Consider the following 26835-nt stretch of genomic DNA (forward strand, 5'->3'; position numbering starts at 1 on the left):
GTGTATAGAGGGTTGGCTGCCAGCGTGATTGACTAAAATGGTCTTCAGGGACTTTCATGAGTAAAGGAGATATATTTTTTAACACTTACTGGGAAATGGAGCTTTGAAAGCCTGTCTCCAGCAAAAGGGATTTTTGACATGTATAGGCTGGGGCCTAGAAGTAAATTTTCTCTCTCCTACTTTTGCAACAGTCTTTTCCCTTTATCCTGGTAGAAACTAAAGTAGTCAACTTCTTGTCATTAAAATGGAACTGGAGAAATCATCAAAGAGATACGATTTTTCCTTACTCTTTTAAAGCAGCCTAGGTATTAAAATATCTTCTGAGATCTGTGCAGAATTTTCATTTATACTAAACAACTCATTTTGTTTGTCAGGGACAAACTAATATGAATAACAAATATCTAGGGTAGAATTTTTCATAGAAACTCTTTATATGTTAAAAGAAAAAAAAAAGCTACTTACTGCTTATTGATGCATTCAAATCATTCTTAAGCCTGCCATTGCCAAAATGGCAGACTGAACCAAACCTTGAATTCTTAGTAGAGAGGGTATTTTTGCTTTTTGTTTTTGTTTATTGTTTGGAGCTAGCTTGCTTCTTTGTTTTCTTTCTTTCTGTGTTCCTTTCTTTTTTTTTTTTTTTTTTGAGAAGACATGCTACAAACTAAAATTTCTGAATTCACGTTTTAAATGTAGATCATAAATATCTTCAATTTAACCATGAAAAGGTAAGCTAAAATACACTTTATTTTATGTATTTATTTATCTTATGGGCGAGGGCCAGGCTGTGAGCCAGTGTGTGGTGAGTGAACCCCACCAAAAACACATTTTAAAGTTCTAGTAGAACTAAGGTATTATTTGATAAAACCCCATTAGTTTTATAGTAGCAGAAATAAACGTATGAATAATGGAGGTGATTTTTCTAATATCTCACAGGTAGTTATTAGAAGCAAAGGGCAGTTTTGAAAATGTATGTCTGTCAAGATTCTCTTGGTTATCAGTGACAGAAAACCCAATTCAAACTGAATTTTTTTTTCTTTTCCTTTTTTTTTTTTTTTTTAAGAAGCAGGAAGGAATTGTAGTCTTATATTCAAGTAAAGTCCAGGGATAAAGCTTATTAGTGAGGGAAGCAGACTGCAAGTACACGATAATAAACCACAGGTTTTCTTAAGGCATAGCCTCAAATGATGCCATCTGTGCTCAGTTTCCATCCCATTCCATCCCATCTTTTGGTTGTGCCTTCTACTATGTTGGCTTCCTTCCTAGGCTCTTTGACATGGCTCTAAACAACTCCAAGCTCACATTTTTTCTGGGTTTGAGTGCCAATGGAGGAAATCTGTCTCTTTAGGTGAGTCATGGGATCAGCTTGGTTTGGGTTAATGGGCTTGGCTTAAGTCATGTTGTGTTCTAAACCAGTGCTTTTCAAACTCTCCATCATGAAGGACCTTTTTATTCTTCTTAAAAAATACCCAATCTGTCATGGGCCGATACTTTTGTAAAATACAATAAAAATGAATTAGCATGAAAATAAAATGAAAGGACATAAAATATAAGCCCAAATTCTTTGTTTTTAGACTTCTCAGACATAAAATTCCCTGCCCAATTGTTATAAAACTTCTTAATGTCTGTACTTGTTACAGACCAGCAATAACAAACAGATAATCACCCTTTGAGGAGCAGTACTCTAAACTAGGAGTCAGCAAGCAACAATCCACTGACTAAGTCTGGTCCACCACTAGTTTTTAATAAAGTTTTATTGTAACTTAGTCACACCCATTTGTTTATATATCATCTATGCTGCTTTTGTGATGTCATGACAGAATTGAGTAGCTGTGACAATGAGTATGTGACGTACAAGGCTGAAATATTTATTATCTGGTCTTTTATGGAAAAAAAAAAGTTTGCCTATTCCTACCCTAAGCAATCACTGTGACCAGAAGATCACGATTTATGATTAATCAAGATGAAGGCACACCCCCACTTCAGAAGTTCATGAACAGAGAGTAGAAACTAGATGATTCTCCAAAGGAAATTGAGATTCAGCTATCAAAAGAGGGGGAAAATGGGCCAGGCATGGTGGCTCACACCTGTAATCCCAGCACTTTGGGAGCCTGAGGTGAGTAAATCACTTGAGACCAACCTGGCCAACATGTTGAAATCCTGGCTCTACTAAAAATACAAAAAAAATTAGCCAGGCATGGTGGCAAGCGCCTATAGTCCCAGCTACTCGGGAGGCTGAGGCACGAGAATCACTTGAATCCAGGAGGAAGAGGTCGTAGTGAGCTGAGATCATGACACTGCACCCCAGCCTGTGTAGCAGAGTGAGACCCTGTCTGAAAAAAAAAAAAAAAAAAAAAGGGAAAATGTTTTAGGGAGCCAAAAATCTGTAAATATCTAGTTCCAAACTTAGATCTTTTTACTCTTAATTCTCTCATCTTTTGCTGACTCTATTGAAAATTGAATTACTGTATAAAATGAATACTGCGAAGTCAAACCATGCCTTAAGTGAATGCAGGTCATAACCGAGGCTTGACAGAATTTGTCATCTCAAATCCTTTGAGGAAAAAAGCCACGGAATATGCAAAGCAATAAATAAATAATCTGAAAATGTTATTAAAATAAGAGAATTGATAATACCTACCATGAGAGTGTATAAAATAATCATACTTATAAAATACTTACTTAACTCTACTTTCCAGAAATGGAAATGAAAACTATTTGGAAATTATGTTTGTTTACCAAATATTTAATCAATATATACCATGAATATCTAAACACTGTGCTAAATGCGGGAACCACAAGAGTGATGACAGTGGACAGGTAAGTTGCAGAGAGTTGGAAGGATAGACAAAACTGTGGTCAGTGGATAATTTACAAACTGCAGGTTATAATTAGGCTATTATTTGACCATAGCCAAAAGGAGAAGAAATAGAAATTAGTAATGGGGGAATGAATCTCTTTTAGCAAGGACAGTATCCAGGAGAAAGTGATATTGAAGCCATGTCCCATAAGAAAGAGGAGGAGCAACTAGCCAACAGAAGTGTAGTTTGGACACAGCATAGAGACGTGTAGTGTGGACATGCATAGGAAAAGCAGGTGCCAAGGCCCTCTGGCAGGAAAATCTTGATCTCCTCCAGGAAAGAAAATCAAAGTAAGCTAGAAGAAAAATAATCCAAACTATTTGGGAGGTTAGAAACCCAATCATTCAAGCTGGGCCTTAGTACATGGAAATTCTTTACTGATTTGGCAAAGTGAGAAAACCTTGAAGGGCTTTCAAGCAAGTGGAGGACGTAGTTTGATTTACTTTTTATAATACTATTTTTGCTCTCTTATATTAAATGAGTAATAATCATGATATAATGGTTGCTTCATAGCAAGGGCATCATTCTAAGCAATTTAAACATATTAAGTTACTTAATCTTCATAGCAACCCTATAATTAATTCTGTTTTACAGATAAGGTTTATAATTACTCTTTTTATTGCTTACTCAGAAAATTAAATTTGAGCCTTCTTGTGCTTTAGAACACACAGAAAAAAAAAGACTTTCACCAAACACAAAATAGTTACTTATGAAACCTCAGCTACCATGCCCAAATATACTATTTTGGGCATTAATATCCTAATTATTTCAGACCATTGATGGATTACTAAAAATTGACAAACTGGGTAGAAACTGATTATTTTTCTGGAAACACAGATGAATGTAGACAGTCATACTAATAATCACAGACAATAGACACCATGTCAATACTACCAATATAGCAGATTATGAGAAATTAGAGTTATTTCAGAGAGGACCCAGTTATTTTTTTCTGCTTGCCTATTCCCCCCTGATTCTCCCCAGCCCCATGTACTTTTGATCTGCCACATTCACCTTCACCCTCCCAAGTAAAACAGCTCCTTCTTAATACTCTGAGACACAATATGCAAAGAGCTATGGCATCATCTATAACAGTTTTGACCAGGTCTGAAGATTTTCCCCACAAAAGACACAAAACCAAGCATTATTCTAAGATTCTAAAGTATTGAAGACATGTATTCAGACCAACACTCTTACACAAATGTTCACAGCAGCACTATTCATAATCCCCAAAGGGTGGAAACAGCCCAAATGCCCACCAGCGGGGGAATAGCTAAACAAAATGTGATGTATCCATGCAATGGAATATTATTCTGCCATAAAAAGGAATGATGTATAGCCCAAGTATCCCTAATCCAAAAATCCATAATCTGACCTACTCTGAAGTTTGAAGTGTTTTGAGTGCCAGCATGACAGCACAAGTGGAAAGTTCCATACTTGATCTCATGTGACAAGTCAAGTGAGTCGAAATGCAGATGAACAACACACATAGATTATTTAGTGTCCCCAAGGGAAAAATAAAATTACCTTCAGGCTGTGTATAAGGTGCACATAAAACATGCGTAGGTTTTGTGTTTGGATTTAGGTCCCATCCCCACAGTATCTCATTATGTATGTACAAGTACTGCAAAACCCAAAAAACCTGAAATCTGTAACACTTCTTGTCACAAGCATTTCAAATAAGGGATACTTAGCCTGCACTAAAATGAATGAACTTGAAAAACCTGCTATGTGAATGAAGCCAGGTGCAAAAGGCCACATATTGTATGATTCCACTGATATGAAATGTCCAGAATAGGTAAATCCATAGAGATAGAAAGCAAACTAGAGGTCAATAGGGGCTGTGAGGAGAGGAAAATGATGATGCTTAATTCGAAGAGGGTTTCCTTTTGGGATCCTGAAAATGTTCTGGAATTAACTTGTGGCAATGACTTGACATTGTGAATATACTCAAAGCCACTGATTTGTACACTTTAAAATACTTGAAGTCATGAGTTTTAGTTATGTGAATTTTACCGAATCGTTTTTTGAAAAATCATTCCTAGTAGGGAGGCCTTTCTGATGAAAACCTATTAAGTTTCCATTTCTCCAGGAAAGGGCATCATTTTCTAATAATATTTTGGAAAGAGAGTTAATGGAACAGCATTCATAGATTTATTTTTATATTTGAACAAAATGCTTAATGCTAAGAGAATGATTAAGTAAAAAGATGATGATAATTATAATGACAATTACCTTGATCATCATCATTATATTATCATAATCATATAATTTGGATAAACTTGGGAACCACAGAAATAATTAATCCAATGTACACAAACTGAATTTTAGTGCATACCTAATTGACTGCTTTTTTGGAGGATTATATATTTTTAAAGCATAATATACGTGGAGAAGGGACAAGAAAAAGGCTAATAATCACATTTTAGTCTTATTTATGTATAACCAAATATAAAGCAAAGGGTAAATATTTCCAGCCTTGGAGTTTGTATGTCCCCTTAGTCTGTCGTAAACATTATTCCATAAGGATCTTTCTTTCGCATAAAACCTAGTCCCTCTTGCCCAGCTCTCTGAGTTGAGCCACAGAGAAACTGCTTGCTAGACCTTTGTGTTGAAAGCCAGCAGGGCCCCTTAGCTGCCATCCTAACATGAATTGCTCCAAGCACAAATTGTTCCCAGAGCAAGCAGTATGCATTTGCCTGCAACGGCCCCATGAGGGGTCTCCCTAGACTCTGGCATGCATTCCTGGAGCATCTTAACTAGGGCTGATACCATGATCCAAGCATGACAGCCACATTGTTCCTACATTGTCTGCCACTGGAGCTTTAAATTGATTTGATTAGTTTCACCTGGTCCACACAGGCACACAATTGTAAGAGATCTGCAGCTATCCCTGTCATGTCACTATGTATCAAGTGTCCTCATATCTGACTCAGCCCCTTAATACAGAAAAGGAATCCTTTACCAAATCAAAATTGTACCTCACCTTTTTCTTATCCCCTCACCACAAATTTACCATCCAACCTCTTAACAGTTAAGCTAATGAGCTTTAAAATATTCCCCATCTGCAGCAACAAAAATATCAATGTTCAGTAAAAGTAAAAGTCTCTCCAAAAGTAGTGGGGCCAGGTTTCAACCTGTGCTATGGTACACAGATGTACCATGACCCTTTCAAAGGGATCAAAGTATGATCAAGAATGCAAGTTATTCCTGCTAAAAGTGAGGAGGGTATCTACTCAGAAACAAGTTTATAAGAAAAGGTTGTCAGATTGTAACATTTGTGGGCATGCAGAATGGTAAGAACAGAGTGTGTCTTGTTGCGAGTAGGGGTGAGAAGTATGGCAGCCTATTAAGCAGACACCAAAGATCAAAGCATGTTTGCTGAAATGTGCAAGAGCTACCTCCTGAGTATGTAAAACTGCAGCCAGGTCAGTAAATTGTTCTACTCAAACAGGGACAAGGTTTCGGAGGATAATCAAGTGGATAATAATAAGTAACTGTGGAGAGAGAAACATTTTACACTTTTCAAGTGTTCAACCAAACACAAAAAGTTACAAACTACTGTCCTGGGAATAGTCACATATGATGCAAGCTGTATTCTTCCAAAGTCTTTAGCTTTTTATCTTTTAACAGCTTCTCTTACACTCACTGGCATTGTGAGCATGGTTGTAACCTTATAATCACATTATGCAAGTTTAAGGGTCACATTTTAAATTCATCTCTGTTACTTTGTATTACTTTTCTATTTCTGCAAACCACATTACACAAATCTAGCACTTAAAACAATGCACATTAGTAACTCAAAATGTTTGTGTGTCAGAAGTTCAGGAATGTCCTAGCTGAATCCTCCTCTCAATGTCTTACCAGGGTGCAATCAGTGCCAGCTGGGCTGTGTTCTCATCTGGAGGCTTAACTATGGAAGATTCCATTTCCAAGCTCCTTCAGGCTGTTGGCAGAAATTATTTCCTTGCAGATGTATGACTGGGGACCCAGCTTGTTCCTGGCTGCCAGATGGAGCCTGCTCAACATCCTAGAAGCTACTTGCAATTCCCTGCCACAAGACCCCTCCCACAGGCAGTTTGCAACATGGTGGTTTGCTTCTTCAAGGCCAGCAAGAAAATCTCTTTAGTCTACCAAGAAGGAGTCTTATACAATAAAACAATCATGGGAGTGGCATTCCCATCACTAGTGCCATATTCTATTTCTTTTTTTTTTTATTATTATTATACTTTAAGTTCTGGGATACTTGTACAGGACATGCAGGTTTGTTACATAGATATACATGTGCCATGATGGTTTGCTGCACCCATCAACCCGTCATCTACATGAGGTTATTTCTCCTAATGCTATCCCTCCCCTACCTCCCCACCTCCTGATAGGCCCCAGTGCATGATGTTCCCCCCTCTGTGTCCATGTGTTCTCATTTTTCAACTCCCATTTATGAGTGAGAACATCTGGTGTTGGGTTTTCTGTTCTTGTGTTAGTTTGCTGAGAATGATAGTTTCCAGCTTCATCCATGTACCTGCAAAGGACATGAACTCATCCTTTTTATAGCTGCATAGTATTCCATGGTGTATATATGCCACATTTTCTTTATCCAGTCTATCACTGATGGACATTTGGGTTGGTTCCAAGTCTTTGCTATTGTGAACACAGTGGCATTCCCATCACCAGTGCCACATTCTATTTCTTAAAACTGACTCACAGGTCCTGCCCACACTTAAGCAGAGATGACCCAAGGACATAAATCATTAGGGGTCACCTTAGGGTGTGTTCAACACACACACACAGAGACACACACACACACACAGAGCAAATATGCTTTATCAGTTTACAATCCAGGTTTGTTACCAGGATCTGAAAGCTGGTGGAAACACTGTGTGGGCATAATCAGGGCAACGCTGTGCTCCACTGGTATGCATTTGTTATGGTCTGATTGGTCAAAATATTAGTCATTGAAGCCTGATAACTCAAGGTGAAATAGCTGCTCTAGCATTGAGAAAATGTTAAATATATTTTAACATATTTCATAGAAGACATTTTTCCTGGTTGCTCTAGCTGAGAACCTAACAATGCCCATTTCAACAAATTTGTCAGATGAAATGTTCCCCAAAATGCCCTTCTTTTCAAAATGACTAAAATATACCCTTTCATTTCATTTCATTTAAATTATTCTCAAAGGCAGCCACAGTGCAAATGAATCAGAAATACATATTGTATGGCAATAGAATATTCTACATTATTTTTCTGGGCTGGAAGGGTGTTTATTATGGCCTCACGCAAAGCCTGTGATGCAGGAAGGTCTTCGATATTTTAAGTTCTGGGCCATGCATAGCAAATTCATAGCTTTCCTGCTGCCGTTCTGTCCTTCTCACCAGGGCAGACATTGATAATCAATCACAGTTCTCTTGCTCGTGAAATCTAGACACAGCTTCAGAACCTTAAACACCATGCCTTAGGCAGCCACTAGCAATGGCTGGATTAGAACTTGAATTAAACCTGCTGGCCAGCCCTTGGATAGCCAGTTAGCTTATTTTACCATAGAGCCACCACTGGGCCCTAAAACTAAACTAAAGATGAAATTATCTGCTCAAAAGCAAATAGAAAACATAGACTAATGGAGAACCATGATGAGACAGGATAGGGAAAGAGATCCCTACTACTGAGACAAAAAATTTAAAAGGTTATATTAAAATATTATTTATTTATATGGAAAAAATGAAATATATTATTATGCTTTTTAAATTATATAACATGATTACCAGGTTGTCAGATCAGGGCAAAAACAGTTGATTAAAACTAGCGTCTAGAATTCTTCACCCCTTCTCCCCTTTGTAGTACCTTCTACCTATACTTAAGCTGTGTTTGCAATGAAGAAACAGGTATTGTTCTATTAAATGATTATGGAGCTCACAAGATTTTTAGGCTCTAAAGTTGTTATATTTTCAATAAGACTTGGTCTTGGGAAGCATCGTAGTGTGATAAAGACATCTTTGAGTCAGACACTTAGGTTCTTAGCATATCTCACTGTATGATTTTATGTACACCTCTTAACCAACCCAGACCCATTTCTCCACATGCAAAATGGCAATGAAGATAAAATACAAAAACCGCACAACCCCTATTGTGCTTGGGATGATGGTGATAGTATATAACCTAAGTAATGAGAAAGTGTTTTGACCTCACAAGAAACATGATGTCATGTTATTACAAAGTAGTATTTATTTAGATGTCAGTTCTCCTTTGCAAGATATACCAAAAAATCTAAACACGTGTATTTGCCAGCCCATGCTGCCATAACAAAATAACCATAGACTGGGCAGCTTACACACAGGAATTATTTTGTCACAGTTCTGGAGGTTAGAAGTCCAAGTTAAGATTCCAGCCCATTACATTTATGATGAGGGCTCTCTTCTTGGCTTGCAGATGTCCATCTTCTCACTATGGCTTCACATGGCCTTTCCTTGGCGTATGCAGTAAGGTGGAAGAGGAGTTTTCTGATGTGTTTTCTTATAAGGACACTTATCCTGTCAGATCAGGGCCCCACCCATATGATCTTTTTTTTTTAACCTTAATTACTTGCTTACTCCAAATGCTGCCAGATTGGTGATTAGGGCTTTCACATGTGAATTTCAAGGGGACATAAACATGCAGTCCATAACTACCTGAAAAAAATCTTAGTGTTCAGAAAGACATCTTAGGTTTGCCCTAAATCTTTTACAACAGTTATTGAACTTTCACTGGGTGTCAAACTCTTCGTTATCTTATTTACTCTTCTTAGCAACTCTATGCTGTGGATACTGTTAGTTTTCCTACTTTCTATATGTTTAGGAAGGTCAAGCATCTTTTCCAGTGATCACACAACTCATGAAGTAACCATTAATTCGTTCAACAAAGATTTTTGGCTCCTCTGTGCTAAAAACAATCCTACATATCTGAGATGCATGCACAAATAAGGCAGAAAAAGATCTTCATCCTTGAGAAACTTACATTCTTATGAGGGAAATCAGACAAAAATAACACCAATAGACATAATATATACAAAATCAGGAAATTATAGTGCATGAAAAAATATAGTAGATTAAGGTAGATTCGTAGTGTTGGAAGAAGTAGAGGCAAGTAACAACATTAAATAAAGTGGTATAGATAGAGTTCATAGGGCAAGTAAGAGTTCAGTGATCACTAGAAGAAGATGAGAAGGCTGGCCAAGTAAATGCATGAGGGAAGAGAATTGAGACAACAGAAGGAAGAAGAGCAGAGGCCCAAAGATAGCATCATGGTGTGGGTGTGTTTGAGAAACAGCAATGAGGCCAAGAGTCCAATTCTGGTCTGTCTAACCCAAGAGTCCAACTTGGTAATTGCTGTCACATTGGCCTCCAAGTGTTGATGCACCATTGTCAATCTCCAGTCTCTATGATAAGGAAGGAAAATTAATATTCATTGAGCACTTGGTAAATGTCAGGCACAGTGCTAGGTACTTCATATGTATTATTGGTTGTCACTTTGATTACCAAAATTGCCTGGGGAAATTCTGTGTGGGTTGGTCCCATGGGGAAAGAAAGAATGTATCAAGTTAATTAATGAAATGTCATCAGCACATGTGGTCTCATTAGAGTTCGTTTCATGTCCATCCTACCCTGCGTCAAGGTAGAGAAAAAAGCAGCTGTGGAGGTCATTGAAGGACACTGACAAGATTTCCGTCATGGTCTTGTCTGTGTGTATCTCCTTTGCAGGCCTGTCTCCTGAAATGCAAAATTCCACTCTTCCACTAGGTTAGGCCATTATCAAGACAAAACTAATTCTTAATTTTACAGGAACAACAAAAAACATTCAAAATACTATCTGGATTTTCATGTAAATCAAGTGAAAATAGATATGCTTATGGGCAAGGACTAGTAGAAGCCATGAAAAAAATGGAAGACTTTTTGAAGCATCACTGTTATAATCACAATTATTTTTAAAACCCAAAGCCTCTTGAAAGGGTAACATATCCTGTCATTACCAGCCATTACCAGCTATGTAAAGGTAATGTATTAGTTTGATCCTTTTCAGATACCAGAACTCTCTCTGTTTGGAGAGAATTACACAAGAAGAGCAAAGGAAAGTCCCCAGAACAGACACTGCCAGGGAGCAGAGGATGGGAAATGCCTCACAGGGAAATAGTTTCCTGAAAGGGAGAATGAAAAGGGGCTGAAGGGAACTGGATCCATTTTGCTGAGGCAACTGGCTCCAGAGTGGGCTATTACCACTAATTTATGCCCTCTTGACTCAAGCTAAGAAAGACTCATGTTATATGTAACTTCCCAATTTTAAGTCCCCATTGTCTCGGGATAAAGTTCAATGCCATTATCATGGCTTATCATATCCTTAATGGTCTGTCCCCATCTCTTTGCTCCATGCTTCCTCTCGGGTTCAGGCATTTGCAAAGCCTCATCCCTCTCCCTGCAGTGCTCTTTCCCATCCTGCTTTGGATCACTGTCCACTAACATAAATCTTCCTTAATCACTCTCGTAGGCAGAGTCTGTTACCCCTCACCTCTGCTACCTTAGTATCCATTGCTGTCTTTGCAATAGGACATATTATACTCAACCATAATGTCCTGTTAACTTGGCCATCTCCCCATTAGAGCACCTCAAGGGAAGGGAATGGACAGGGCTTTGGCCATCATTGTATGTCCATTGCTTAAAGGACAGAAAGTAGACATTTCAGAGGTGAGGATTCAGGCCCAATCATACCATCTTGAACTACAGGAAGCACAATGTTAACTCTCCCATCTCCTGAAGAGCAGCCTGCATCCCTTTTAAACCAGGGAGCCACTGTGCATGGTTGACTGGGTACAGTATCACATTTCCCAGTTGCATGTTTTGGGGCAAAAGCCTGAGCTGTAAGTCTCGGCTGCCTATGTAGCCAACAGTCCACACAATATTGCTAAATAGGTTATATTGCATCTAAAACTTAGAATTTACACACTTTTTAGGATAAACTGAGACTCAAAAAAGTTGAGTGAGTCAAATGAGTGACATAGTTAATTAACAACAGAGGGCAGATGTACACTGGGGAATTTTGACTCCCAATTCAATTTCTTCCCACTGTCTCTTTTGCATAGTAAAGGTAAAATGAATAAAACAAAAATAAAAATGCAAGAAGGTGACAGGTTTATTGGGTTCTGCAAAAAAATGTAACAGGAAGACATAGGCAAGTTAATTTTCTTGTTTGGCTACCAGGTAAATGTAAGTTAGAAATGTGTCCTCTGATATAAACCAGCTCATTACATTCCTAAAGATTTTACACGTTTTGATTTCTGTCTGTTCTTGCTTATTCAAAAGTACAGGAGAAAGGTCAGATATCTATTGTATTGATTTTCCAGAGTATACATTAAAGAGACTCAAATGCAAATGTGCCTCTCAACTATGCTAGCTATTTTCTTGTCCCTGAAAGGGGAAAAAACTCATTAGAACTTTTGCAATCGTACTTTATTTGCTTTGCCCATTCAAGATTACACCCATTGCTGTTTTTTAAACAAACATATAGTATAAATATCTGGGTAGCAATAAATATGGAAATAAGGCTCAGCCTTGGTGTGATGAATTTAAACATGAAGTAACAGGTATGAAAACAAATGTGCAAATACTACTATTAGCAGACGTAGTTGCCATAAGTGTTATTAACTTAATTATTTTCTTAGCTTCAGTAGATTTCTAATCATATATTTCTACTAGCAGACAAGTTGAAATAAATTATTTCCTCTAGATCTTGGCTAGAATTACACTGGAGAAGGTAACTAGTTTTCTTATAACAAAACGATAAAAACCTAAACTGTATTGAATTGAGACAATCCAGTGTGAACTGGGTAAATACCATGAGGTTTTCATGCCTTAAAATGATTCTAAGGTATATCTTACTTTAAATAACTACATATTAACAGCAATTTGGTTGAAAAGTAGTTTAAAATTTTAACATAATATAATTAAATATAGATTAATGGTCACCAGGCTTATGATAGTTGAATGTTTTCCTGGTAGTCTTAGTTACCACAGATAAACTTAATTTCCTGATTGTAAATCTCTTTATTACAACTGTCAACATCATTTACTTATTCAAACTAAAATCAAATATGTTATTTTAAAATTATAGTAGATAAATATAAGTAATACACAATATTTAATTAGATACTTGTTGCATACCTGGAATTGTTCTGCATAGTATAAATGATGATAATGGCCATCATTATCATCACCAATAACATAGATAGCACTTACATATGACAAGTCCTCTTCTAAGGTCTTTCTGTATTAACTCATTTCATATATCATTACCTCAACAACCCTATGAGATAAGAACATTATGATTATCCCTATCTAATAAAAAGGGCACCAAGGTTTACAGAAGTTAAATCACTTGATCAAGGTCCCTTAAACCTAGATCTCACCAACTCCAGTGATAAAGTTCTTAACCACTTCACTTGCTTAAATGCTTCACGTGATGCACAGAGGAGTGTACCAATAACTAGACTTATCGATTTACTTACTAAGTTCAATCTGTGTCTTTCATCATTTAGTGGACTTTTGTATTTGCTTCCCACAATATAGAACTGAGATGCTTCCAAAATATTACTCTAAAAAATAGTAGGAATTCACTTAACAGTAGAAACTATTTTTTCAACACAAAGAATAATGAGCCTTTTAAAGTAATGTACTTTTAAAAGAAAATAGATGCTGGTATTATTAGCTGTCTGCAATTTTCTCTACCTGCCACAAAAAATACAGATACAGTCCTATTACCATCTTGCATATGTACTGATTGAAGTTCATGCAATGGCCTGTGGAAGGTCCAGGGCCAAGAGAATTGGCTAATAATTCTTACTTCATTCTGTGCTCCTGACACAATATAAAGAGCATGTTATCTTACTTAATCAGCACAACATTGCTGCTAGGTGGGTTTTATTCCTTCATTTTATGAGAAAAGAGGGTAAAAGAGTTCTGGGTGGTTTTTTGCTGGTTTTTTGTTTGTTTGTTTGTTTGTTTGTTTGTTTGTTTGTTTGTTTTTAATGTCCAGGACCTTATAACTACTAAGTGACTAAAAGTAGGATTTAAGTTAACAAAAAAAAACCTGTTTCTTCTGGTGTCAGAACTCATGATCTTGATTACGTTGTTACATGAACTATTAATTTAAACCTTGAGAAAGTCCTCTTTAGAAAAAAATTCACCTTTGGAGAACTTTGTCCATCTCCACCTTTGTACATTTTTCAAAGCACCAGTGTTCTCTCAGGCAATTTCAACAACCGTGCAAAGTGGGTGGTTCTACATGTCATGGATGGAGGTCCATGTTGTGTGTGGTAGACTCACTTTACAGATGAGAATCTGAGGCTCATTAACATGATGTGATTATCTGGAGTTCTCACCAATATCGATGGCAAACATGGTATCAATGCCCAGGTTTTTTTATGATTCCATTCCACTTTTCATCCACAGGTGCCTCCAGAGTGGTGAACATAAGACATGAAAGGAAGTGAAAGTCAGATCTTCTAACTCTTTTAGGAGTGGTGGGAGTGAAGGAGTAGTGAGTTTGTGCCAAGTGATGGCTAACAAATGCCATGTAGATAGAATGATCTGCTGTACCAGATCGATCACCACTGTCCAATAGTACTTTCTGTAGGGATGGAAATGTTCTATTCTGTATCATTCAATATGGTAGCCACTAGCCATATGTGGCTGTTTTGCACTTGAAATGTAGCTGGTATGACTGAGAAGGAACTTTAATTTTATTTAGTTTTAATTAATTTAAATTTAAATATCCACATGTGGCTAGTAGTTATCTTATTTGACAGCCATAGTGTTAGCTTTTTTAGCATCAACCTCAGAAGTCATGTCCATATCTTTTCTGTGGATGTAGACCACTACCTATTTCATAAAGCCTGATGCATTCAAATAAGTCCCTCCAAACTGTGAGCCCTAACATGGTTTTACTTGCCTATTTCCTATTGCCTCGAGAAACACTAACTCATTTAATTTAAAAAACAAAAAAGACTATAAAGCAGGACAGGTATTACTTCCATTTTACAGATAAAGAAAGTAAAACTCAGGTCATCAGAGTAACTTGCCCATTGAGACATAAGCTGATAGTTTTGACTACCATACTATTCTGCTTATTTATTTTTTCTCAAGTAGCTTTTGATCAAACTATACAGTTTTTCTTTCTGTTTAGGAATTGTCTTAGTTTTTCCAGGGTACCATAACAAAATACCAAATGGGGTGGCTTATAAACAACGTCTATTTCTCACAGTTGTGGAAGCTGGAAAGTTAAAGATCAAGGTGCTTTGCAGATTTAGTGTCTGGTGAGGGCCACTTCCCCACAGGTAGCTGTCTTCTCTGACTTTACATGGCAAAAGGGGTGAGGAATCTCTCTGGGCTCTCTTTTATAAGAGCACTAATCCCATTTGCGAGGGCTCCATCCTTATGTCAAAAGGCCCTCCTCCTAACACTATCACTTTGGAGGTTAGGAATTCAATGTATGAATTCTGGGGGAACATAAACATCAGTCCATTGCAGAAGTATATTTGGAAAGATTAAAATGGCCTTTGAACTGAGAGCCCTTCTATATAGATATGGCAAAATATTTTTAAATGTGGTCCTTAAGCTTATCTTGTTCTTTTTGCATACCTCCAACTTTGAAACAGTGCCTTTGACATGAATTACAAATATGCATAGGTATATAAATATATATGTGTAGAGAGCCTTCCTTTCATTGTTTGTAACCATTTACTTCTCATTTTACTTTTCTCCCCCAGTATGGCTTTTCTTGGTTTAAATTCTTTCAGGAGCAAGAAATGCCATTCAACTGATTTAAACAAAAAGTTTTCTGGCCATGAAATATAAGGCCAAGGCAATGACTGACTTCAGACATCACTATCTCTCTCTCCATCTTTCTATTCTGTTTTCTTCTACATTGGGTTCCATCTCAAACAAGCTGTGCCTCAGTAGTAATAAAAATGCTACCAACAGGCCTAGTTTTATATAACACCAGGGTACCACCCAGCAATGAAAAAAAAAAACGTTTTTTCCCAATATCATTAGAAAAAATCCTGGAATTGAAAATTATTGGTTGGCTTAGGTCACAAGCCTATTTCTGAATCAGTCACTGTGGCCAAAGAGATTGTTCCAGTTTTTAGTTGTATATGACAGCCCCAAAATTAGTAGTTTGAAACAATAGCCATTTTATTACATCTCATGTTTTTATTGGTAGCAATTTGGATAAGGTTTGGCAGGATGATTCTTCAGAATAAACAAGAGATGTAATAAAATGGCTATTGTTTCAAACTACTCATGGACAGAGGTCCATGGTGTTCAGCTGGTGACTGAATTGGTTGTGAAAGTTCAAAATGGCTCATTTACCTTGGCTTGAAGGAGACAGCTGGAAGGCTGGGATCAGCTGGGATGATCAACTGTAGCATCTGCATGTGCACTTCCCAGTATGGTAGTGTCAGGGCTGTAGGATTTTTTTATAGGCTGGCTCAGGACTCCCAGAAATAAGAGTCTAAAAAGGGTGGGTGGAAGCTGCAAAACATTTTATGACTTACCTTAAGAAATCCTAGAATGTTACTTGGGTTACATTCATTTGTTCAAGCAAGTAACTAGAGCCAGCCCAGCTTCAGCAGGAGAGGAATCATAGTTCTCAAGGAGAGGCATAGCTATTTGTTTTTTCCAACAGTGTTTCAGCCAGAAAGAGATGGATGATCTGATTGGACCAGCCTGGTCATGTGGCCACCTCTGTTTCCAGGAAGTATGGTTAGCTCCACCTAAAGCATCTGACTAACACCGTAGGGAGAGTAGCTCCCCAAAGGAAAATTAAAGTATTGTTCCCAGAAGAGAAGGGAGCAGATGCTAGGTATGTAGAAATAAGAGCTATGTGACAAATTGATGTTGACATCACCAAGCCTCATATAATAATTCTAACAAGCATTATGAAATCAAAAAAGATATCAAAATGTGGGGTCCATAAAAGCCTGAACCTTAAACCTTGCCATTCACTAGCTTGGGCTAATTAAAATCTGAACCTTACCTTCCTTATGTGTAAAATGTGGATAATAATGATCTTCTTCCCAGGATTGCTGCAAGCATTAGATGGAGTGCTATACACTTAGGGTTTACTCAACAATTATCCCCTTTTTTTCCTTATGAAACCTCTTAAACTGTGAACACGAGCTCCTCTTGAAATTAGCACCCCCTCTTAGAGCCACCTGAAGCATAGTAGCCTAAGAAGTTTCAAGTGTGTAGAAACCAAGCATTATTTGCAGGCTGCACTGGCCCTTACTTCCCAAATGCAATTTACATTTTCACTTTGATCAGTAAAAGCAGATATATTGGTCTCTGTTCACATGAGAGAGTACCTCTATGCATCTTTGCAGTGACATACTTTCCTATTTCATCTTTGAAATTCATTTCTCTCACAATCCAAAGCAGTCAAGGTCACTGGTCCTTTAAGAATATTGTAGGTTGCTCATCCCAACCCATCTTGATAATGGAATTTAGGGCTGAATTTAGCTTTTTCTCTTTTATTGGTCATCACTGATAAAACTTGATTGCTTAATATTTTTTCCTGAGCATCCAGGTGCTGAAAGCTGTGTTCCAAATTCAGCGATTAACTGTGTCTTAAGATACTAGATTGATGACTTCTCAGTCTGGTGCTTTTCATCAAGGGGACAGTGTGGAAACTGAGCTGTCCTTCAAGAAATGTTAGCCTTGGTTTGTACATTTTTTAATGTGAATGCCAACTGAAAAAATTAGGCTACATATGTTGCAGTTCCTTCATATTTTATAGTTTCCTTTGTGTATATTTTCAATTAATGTGCTTAGTTCTTGAATTGGATCTAAATAAAAGTGATCTTGGATTGAAAGCTATCAGGATATTGTGCAGCATTAAGGAGAGCACTGGTTCTTTCTCTCTCCTGCTGCTAGAAGAGGCAATAAAAGAACAGGAGAGGAAGGGAATGTTTCGTTGTGTTCAGTGCGTAGGGGTCATACCACTGCTAAATAAAATCATTTCAGATAATAGTACAGGTGACACCAAATAGCAACTGAAGTACAGAGTAAATAAATTGTTCCTTCTTTTTTTTTGAGATGGAGTCTTGCTCTGTCACCCAGGCTGGAGTGCAATGGAGCATCTCAGCTCTCTGCAACCTCCACGTCCTGGGTTCAAGCCATTCTCCTGCCTCAGTCTCCCGAGTAGCTGGGACTACAGGCATGCGCCACCACACCTAGCTAATTTTTGTATTTTTAATAGAGATAGGGCTTCACCACGCTGGCCAGACTGGTCTCAAACTCCTGACCTCAAGTGATCCGCCCACCTCGGCCTCCCAAAGTGCTGGGATTACAGACGTGAGCCACCGCGCCTGGCCAATTGTTCCTGTTTCCATTTCCTTCTATCCTTTTGCTACATTGAAGGAGAAAATCTCAATTTAGTATTATCATGTCTTCAACACCTCTCAAAAATATATTCATCTCCAACTTCTTAAAAGAAACTGAGGATTTCACCTTAGGAAGACAATAGTGTCTAACTATAATCAGTAATCTTTTTATTGTTGTATTTATTTTTATATTGACCGCAGAGAATGTAATACCAGTTTTCCACTTATAGTAAGGTAATAATGTTTCCTTTTTACATAAAGTCATTGAATTAAAAGAATCAGTTCCTAAAAGTGACACCCTTTGTTTTAGAAGTCAGATGGAGCTCTTTTAGTCATGGCCTTATGTAGTGCCTTTCACCCTGGCTGCTTGTTTATAAACCAAGACTACCCAGTTTGTTTGGTGACCTGGGTGCAGGGAAAGCCGTGCAAATGTGTAGTCAAGTGGTCTGTAATAAGATGAGCGATACAAATGCTGAACAAGCCTCCTCTGGGCAGCATCTGATAGATTTCTGTACTGAAGAAAATATTTGATGAGGACAGACCCCTTAATCCTGTCAAACGAACTAATTCATTTTCAGTTCCATCTATGAAATTATACTCCACAAAAGCAGAACTATGGCCCAGGAGGAGACAGTCATCTGACAGAGAAACAGCATTGCTGAGATGAGATAGAACTTGCTCTGGATCAAAAGTGATCATTTCTATTATTCTCATGGTATCTTTGATTTGTCACAGCAATTGCATTTGTATAAGGCCTAGTTAATTAAGACTGTGGACTGTGATCAAATTTAAGCAGCACAGTTCCTAAAATATACCCAGCCTTATCTGCTCCCACTTGCTGATAAACACACACACACACACACACTCACACACACTCGCACACTTTTGCTCCAGAAATGCTGAACTAATAGTTGCCAGAATACAACATTCTAACTCATACCTCTGGGTCATGCACAAGCATTACTTCCACTGAGATTCCCTTTCTCTACTTTACTGCCTTTGCAAATTCCTACTGATCCTTTAGCACTCATTGCAGACATCCCTTTTTCAACCTCCTCTCAACTCTGGATTAGATCCTGCATCTTAATAGCTGTGTGAGCGTGGGCATGTTATGTAGCCTCCTTTTGATTGGTTTCCTCCTCTCTAAAATGAGATAATAGTAGTGCCCACATCCAAGATTATTATGAGGCTTAAATTATGGAATGAATACAATTTTTTTTGGCACAGAGCCTGATCCACAGCCAATTCTCCCTAAATTCTCCCTATGATTTCAAAGTATTATTTATTTTGTCATTGCCCTGACTACATTGATTGCAATTAAATAGTGTCCTTTATTAAGCTGATAGTTTTTTAAGGATATGCACTGAAATTTATTAAATTTGTCCTCAGCCTCAACATATTTAGGAATATAACATATTTATATTTAATTGAACTGCATTGAATTGCATCTGGATGAGGGCAACTGATGGTTACTGATTAGTAATTACTGATGATTACTTTTATAATAACAATAACAACAGCAAGTTTATGGAGCACTTACTTTGAACTAGGCATTCTGGGAATCAAAGTCCCCAAACCAACTAATTGGCTGTTTCGTTCACATCTGAACCCATCACTGAGATAGGGGGAATGGAACATGTAGAGGGGTTAAGACAAGGTCCCATGACCACATGGTTTGAGAGAGTGAGTGAAGGTTGTTTCCCCAAAGATAAACCCAAGTACCACAACCAGAGGGAAAAAAATTGGGATTACTGCTGGGGAGACCAAAATGTCAGATGAGTACAACACTGGTTTCAGAGTAATTTTTATTTGTCCATAAAGCCTGCCTCTTGGATCATTCCAGGGCAACAACCTAGCAGTTAATTTAAGTGATAAGATTAAAGTTTATTTTAAATATCAGTGATCTTTCCTCCATTCCCAAACAGAATGAGTTGATACATTCGTTTATATATATCAAGGTGGTTGAGCTTGTTGGTCTATAATACAATATGTAAAAGGCTAATTAGAATATTGCTACTGTGGTCTGAATGTGTGTGTCTCCCCCACCCTCAATTCGTATGTTAAAACCTAATCACCAATGTGATGATATTAGAAGACGAGGGCCTCATGTGAGTGGAATCCTCATGAATGAAATTAGTGTCCCTATAAAAGAGACTCCAGTGAACTACTTTGTCTCTTTCTGCCATGTAAGGATACAATGAGAAGACGTCATCTATAAACAAGGAGGCAGGCCCTCACAAGACAAAGAATTGGCCATTGCCTTGATCTTGGACTTCCCAGCCTCCAGAATTGTGAAAAATAAATTTCTGTCCTATATAAGGTACCCAGTTTATATTATTTTGTTATAATATCCCAAATGGACAAAGCCAATTGTTAATGATTACCTCATAGTTTTGTATCAACTACTTTGCCTAGTATGATGCATTTCATAAATAAATTCATATGTATGTGCTATAGGCTACCTTATCCAGTTCAGGCTGCTGTAACAAAGTACTATAGACTGGGTGGGCTTATAAACAACAGAAACATATTTCTGACAGTTCTGGAGTCTAGAAGTCTGAGACCAAGTTGCCAGCATGGCCAGGTTCTGGTGAGGGCCCTCTTCTGGGTTGTATACTCTTGGCTTCTAATTGTATCCTCACATGGCAGAAAGCAGAGTGAGGTTTCTGGGGGACCCTTTTATGTGGGCACTAATTCCATCCATGAGGGCTCCACTTTCATGACCGAATTACCTCCCAAACACCCTATCTCCTAACACCATCATGTTGCAGGTTAGGATTTCAACATACGATTTTGGGAGGACACAAACATTTAGTTCATAACATGAGCTTACATATTACCTTTCTGAATTGAGGGGGAATGTTGTTGAAGAAGAGTTTCATAATGAGATGAAATGAAAGGAAGTAATTTGGGTGTATTCCTTCTTGTAGGAAGGGGATCGTATGACCAACAAAATCCTAAAACACAAAACAGTTTGCCTATACTCAGAATGTTGCACTGGTGATTGTTTTTTTTCTTTGGGAAAAGTTGTCGTCTCAGAAAGTAAAATGAAAATGGTTTTTGAGCTTGGCATTTGGGCTAGAGCCAACTTGAAAATTCAGAGCATGAGAAAAAATTTTTTTCTTTAGACCTGTCTTCTCCACAAATTATATTCACGAAGATTTTCAGACTCTGTCCCTGTGGCTCGGGCTCAAGTAGAGATAGATTTCAGCCTGCCACAGGTAGGACAGAAAATGATTTTAAAAGAACAATAAATAAATATTAGAAGCCTTTTCTTTAGTTGCTATTTTTTCCCTTTTTCTTTTGATGGCTGATGTTCAGTTTTCTCCCAATTTCTTTCTTGTGCTACAGCAAGCCTCGAAAAATACTTCACTATAAGAGCAACTTCTAAATGCTCTCGTCTTCTTGCAGAAATCATGTCAGAAACATCCAAATGAATCTTAATAGTTGAGTAAAATTGAATTTGGCTTCTCTAGGCCATAACAGTTAGTATTACTCCATTGTGAGCAGATCTGGATTATAATTAAGAAAACCCAACATTACCACTGACACAGAAGTATGCTAGGAAAATGACTAATTTACATAGATCTATGCCTGTTCTGTAACTTCTGCATCTGGCATGCTATGAGGGACAGTGTGATCATGCATGTAAAGTGGAGGGACACATGATAAGGACAGAAATCTACTCTCAGGATTATCTATTAGTCAACTAAATTTTTAATATTAATGCAAAATCTCATTCTTCAGTAATTGTTAATATTCGGTACTAAATGGCTAGAAAATAGCAGCAATCTGGCTTTGGTGCAGTCAAACACCTGGATTCATTCAATCATTTAGTTATTCCACAAATATTTATTGAGCACCTTCAGTGTAGCATAGGATTGTGTTAGGTGGCAAGTAGCAGAATGCCCAACTGAAGCAGCTTTGACAATAAGAATTGATTTTTTCCTGCATAACAGAAAGTAAGGAGGTATTGGTTTTTGACATAAGTGCCAGCCTTGCAGCAATTTTCCTGAACTGTCTTTTATGATGGCTATAGTAGCTGCAGCTGTCATATACGCATTTCAGACTGTGTAAGTAGGTGACTTAAGGACCAGGCCAGCAGTGACTTTGTCTTTTCAGCAGGAAATCAAGACTTTTCCAGAGCGCCCTCCCCAGCAGACCTTTGCTTGCTCTCATAGACCAGAATCGTATCATATGCCCAAACTCAGCTACCAGGAAAGCTAGTAAAGCAATTATTTTGAAGTTCCGCTGCTGGAGTGGGAAGTATCAAGGGAGAAGGAGTTGGGAATGGCTTTTCTGTAGCCAATTTACAATGCTGGTCACAATTTCTATGTGCCAGGCACTCTGCTTGGTGCATTAAACACACAACTGGAAATGTACAATCACTGGCCTCACGAAGCGTACAGCTTAGTGGAGAGATAGATGAGGAAACATTTAAAATACGTGAGGAAATAGGAGCACAATACCATAGAAGCCTAAAAGAAGGAAGACTTAAGTTTGGTTTAGTGTGGAATTGATCAAGAAATTTGTACAGTATCAAAGTATACCTTAGAGACAGTTATTTGGCATGTGGTTTATTTATTCCTCATGCAAATGATTTTCTTGTATTTGAGAAAGTCAGTGGTAAACTAAATCAAGTAACAATGACACAGAACTCATAAGGGATAGGGAAGGAAAAAACCTATAGACAGTTTGGGAAAAGTGAAATTTGTTTGCTTATGTTGTGACAGAAACATAGAAGTGAGTCTGGGTTTTTCTGTGTTTTTTTCTGTTTTTTTTTTTTTTTTTTTTGGAGATAGGGTCTCACTCTGTTACGTAGGCTGAAGTGCAGTGGCATGATCATGACTCACTGCAGCCTCAAATGATCCTCCTGCCTCAGCCTCCTGAGTAGCAACAACAGGAGCACACCACCGAGCCCAGCTAATTTTTTATTTTCTATTTTTCATAGATGGGGTCTCGCTTTGTTGCTCAGGGTGGTCTCCATCTCCTGGCTTCAAGCAATCCTCCCACCTCAGCTTCCCAAAGTACTTGGATTCCAGGTGTGAGCCACCAAAATATCAAAAACTTTTCAGTTATTTATAAATTTTTCTAGAATATCCTGAGATTTTAGCTGTGGATTGAATATGATAGGCTGATTTTGTGTAATGTCTTCCAGTGTCTTTCTGTCTAACTTGGTGAGATCTGATATAAATCATTTCCTCACTACAAATTCTCAATGAGAACACGTATTTGGATTGAGATTGTAAGATGTCAAAAGTCTCTACTCGATGGGCCAGTGGAAGGAGAGCAGTTCCAGTGGTGTTAGCAACATACATAAATGTGCAGAGAAATGATAGGGAAAGGTTCGGGGAGCTAGATGGCCATTCCGATTTACTGAAGCAGAAAAAGAAAGGCTTCCAAGTCTTCTTCTAGTCAATTGGACTGGTGCTTCAGAGGCAGCACCTAAGTCAGGCTCTGAGTACATACATAAAAGGCACTTGAGGCCAGGTACAGAGGCTCATGCCTATAATCCCAGCACTTTGGGAGGCCTAGGTGGGCAGATCACTTGAGACCAGGAGTTCGAGACCAGCCTGGCCAACATGGTGAAACCCCGTTTCTACTAAAAATACAAAAATTAGCCAGGCATGGCAGTGAGTGCCTGTAATCCCAGTTACTCTGGAGGCTGAGGCAGGAGAACTGCTTGAACTCAGGAGGTGGAGTTTGCAGTAAGCCGAGATCATACCACTGTACTCCAGCCTGGGCGACTTTGGGAGGCTGAGGTGGGCAGGTCACTTGAGGTCAGGAGTTCAAGACCAGCCTGGCCAACATGGTGAAACCCCAACTCTACTAAAAATACAAAAATTGGCGAGGTATGGTGGTGTGCACCTGTGATCTCAGCTACTCAGGAGGCTGAGGCAGGAGAATTGCTTGAACCCGGGAGGCGGAGGTTGCACTGAGCTGAGATCATGCCATTGCACTCCAGCCTGGGCAGCAAGAGCGAGACTCCGTCTCAAAAAATAAATAAATAAATAAAGCACTTGAAAGAAGTGTATGTGTGTCTATGGGATGAGTGAATGGAATGCCAGGGATGATAGGGAGTGGCAGGGACTATGGCAAACTGGAGAACATGAACCCCACCCAAAGGAGAAAACACTGCTCAGTTGTTTTTATAAACACGCAGCCCCAGTGTTGCTAGTCTTCCTATTTTTCCCAGAAACCTAACATTTGTACTTTAATGTAAAATCTCCTAATTTGAATATTGGTGATTAATTTCAATTATTAAAAGTACTGTGTAGAGAGAAAAAAAGAATCCACACTTCAGTTTAAGCACATAAGCTGCCAACTTTTGACCTTTGTGTTAAATAAGTGTTTTGTAATTTCTTAGGATCAATTTGACTGGAGAACAGGACATCTCCTTTAATCAGGAAAGTGAGTAGTCAATGATCAAGAAGCCATGAAAAAATGCCCTGTCATCAATTGCTTGATTCTTACATCAGTGCTTTTAGAAGCAAAAACTCATAAATATAGTATCTGAATTTGATTAAAATAAAATATCCCCCAAAATATATATACTAAAATAACACTCTTAATAACTATTCAGTATAATAGATCATTTTCATATTCCTAGTGTTTTGCTATTTAAGTGTATTATGGAAAAGATTGTTTTTATTTTTCTTTTCAAAGGCCTAGGTTTTCTTTGCATGTACTCTTGCTTCCCAGTAAATCCAAGGGCAAAATGCATTTATAGATTGGGGTTTGTTGTTTTGGATTTAGGTGCAGAATACCCAACATTTTATGTCATTTTTTTCCAAACTTCTGTCAGTCTCATACCATCTTCCTATTTCGTGCTATACCAGTACATTGTCTTTATCATTACTTGCTTGATGCTTTTCTTTAAATTTACCTAAATGTATTCATCTTAAAAAGATATTTTCTGACTACTTTCCCATTGCCTTTTGTTGTATAACAAATCTCCACACACTGAATGACTTAAAAGAACAAAAATGTACCATTTCTCACGATTCTGTGTGTTGCCTGGGTGGTTTCTTCTGGTCTGGGCTGGCTCCATTGGACCTGGAATCAGGGTGGCCTCTGTCACATGTCTGATGATTGACAGGTTGATGATGCCAGGAGGACCTCAGCTGGGGTAGCTACTCTCTGCTCCACATGACTTTTCAGCATGGTCACGACAGGTTTCTAAAGAGCAGTAAGCCCCAATACAAGCACCTTCAAATCTCTTCTTGTCTCTTGCTTGCTAACCTTTTATTGGATGAAAAAATCATATAACCAAACCCAGATAGAAGGGCTGGCAAAATAGACTCTACTTCTTAATGTAAGGACAGGCAAAGTCAGTGCACAGAGGCAGGTGTAGAAGAGGAAGCATTTGTAATTGTTCTTACAATCAGAAAATAGAAATTTAGTATTACCTGACATAAAGAGGCAGTACATTTAGAAAATAAAATCAAAATGAATTGGCATTATTAAACCACTATTGCTAGAAAAGTAAGGTTTTAAGCTACCACAAGATTCCCCATCTCCCAGGATCCTGAGCCCTCAGATTGGGAAGTACTTTTCTATGTTTCTAGGTTGTTTTTTGTTTTTGTTTTTGTTTTTGTTTTTTTTTGAGACTGAGTCTCCCTCTGTCGCCCAGGCTGGAGTGCAGTGGTGCGATCTCGGCTCACTGCAAGCTCTGCCTCCCGGGTTCACACCATTCTCCTGCCTCAGCCTCCCGAGTAGCTGGGACTACAGGCGCCCGCCACCACCCCCTGCTAATTTTTTTGTATTTTTAGTAGAGACAGGATTTCACAGTGTTAGCCAGGATGGTCTGGATCTCCCGACCTCGTGATCCGCCCACCTCAGCCTCCCAAAGTGCTGGGATTACAGGCGTGAGCCAACGCGCCCGGCCGTTTCTAGGTTTTATTGTTGAACTTTGGGTATGTGTTCCACTCGACTTTCAATTTAGCTAAATATATAGCCATAAATACAGTCAAAAGCGTAGGGGATGTGCAGCTCAAGGCAGTAGAACTAAGATGTTGAACTTTTTGCAAACAGATCCATCTGAAACATTGCTGCATGTATATTCCTGGTCTCCTTTGATTATTTTTTTAGCTTTCTTAATGCCATCACTGACACGAACAAAATGAATTTCGAAGCGTCAGTATGGAATTTTATTTTTTACCCATGTTTGTTGGCAGTTGGCAGATTCATTCTGGTTTAGCGGGTTTGATATTAGTGAAATTACATATTTCAAAATATAAGAATCCTTATATCATCCTTCATTTTCTCATCTGCTTTAAAACTCATAGGTGAAGGCTCTGCTATGCTTTTATATAGTTCAGTCTGCCTATTTTAAGTAGTGCTGAGCATAGAGCAGGTGGTCTATAAATATTTTTTCTGATAGGTAAAGCTAAATTCTTCCAAATAGTCCAGACAATTCCACAAAAATAACCATGCTAGTTGTGTGGTATTGTATAGGAAAACAAAGCTGTTGATTGTTGTTTTCCACTTTTTAAGAGGTGAAGGTCAAAGGCATATTCCAGAGATATTGGGAAGTTCTTGCCAAATGACTGAAGTAATCAACTATCAAATTAT

At 38.1% G+C, this 26835-nt stretch overlaps 1 protein-coding gene and 1 long non-coding RNA gene across 8 annotated transcripts in view; both read left to right on the forward strand.

The window, feature by feature from the left end:
• Positions 1–26835, forward strand: part of TAFA1 (TAFA chemokine like family member 1) — a 554078-nt gene that overhangs the window by 507278 nt on the left and 19965 nt on the right. The gene's annotated exons all lie outside the window — the stretch shown is intronic.
• LOC105377146 (uncharacterized) lies at positions 1816–7051 on the forward strand. Its single transcript, NR_135532.1, has 2 exons — positions 1816–2113; positions 6726–7051. It is a non-coding gene; the product is annotated as an uncharacterized LOC105377146 (long non-coding RNA).

This window comes from Homo sapiens, chromosome 3 (assembly GCF_000001405.40).
Source record: "Homo sapiens chromosome 3, GRCh38.p14 Primary Assembly".
Taxonomy (NCBI): Eukaryota; Metazoa; Chordata; class Mammalia; order Primates; family Hominidae; genus Homo; species Homo sapiens.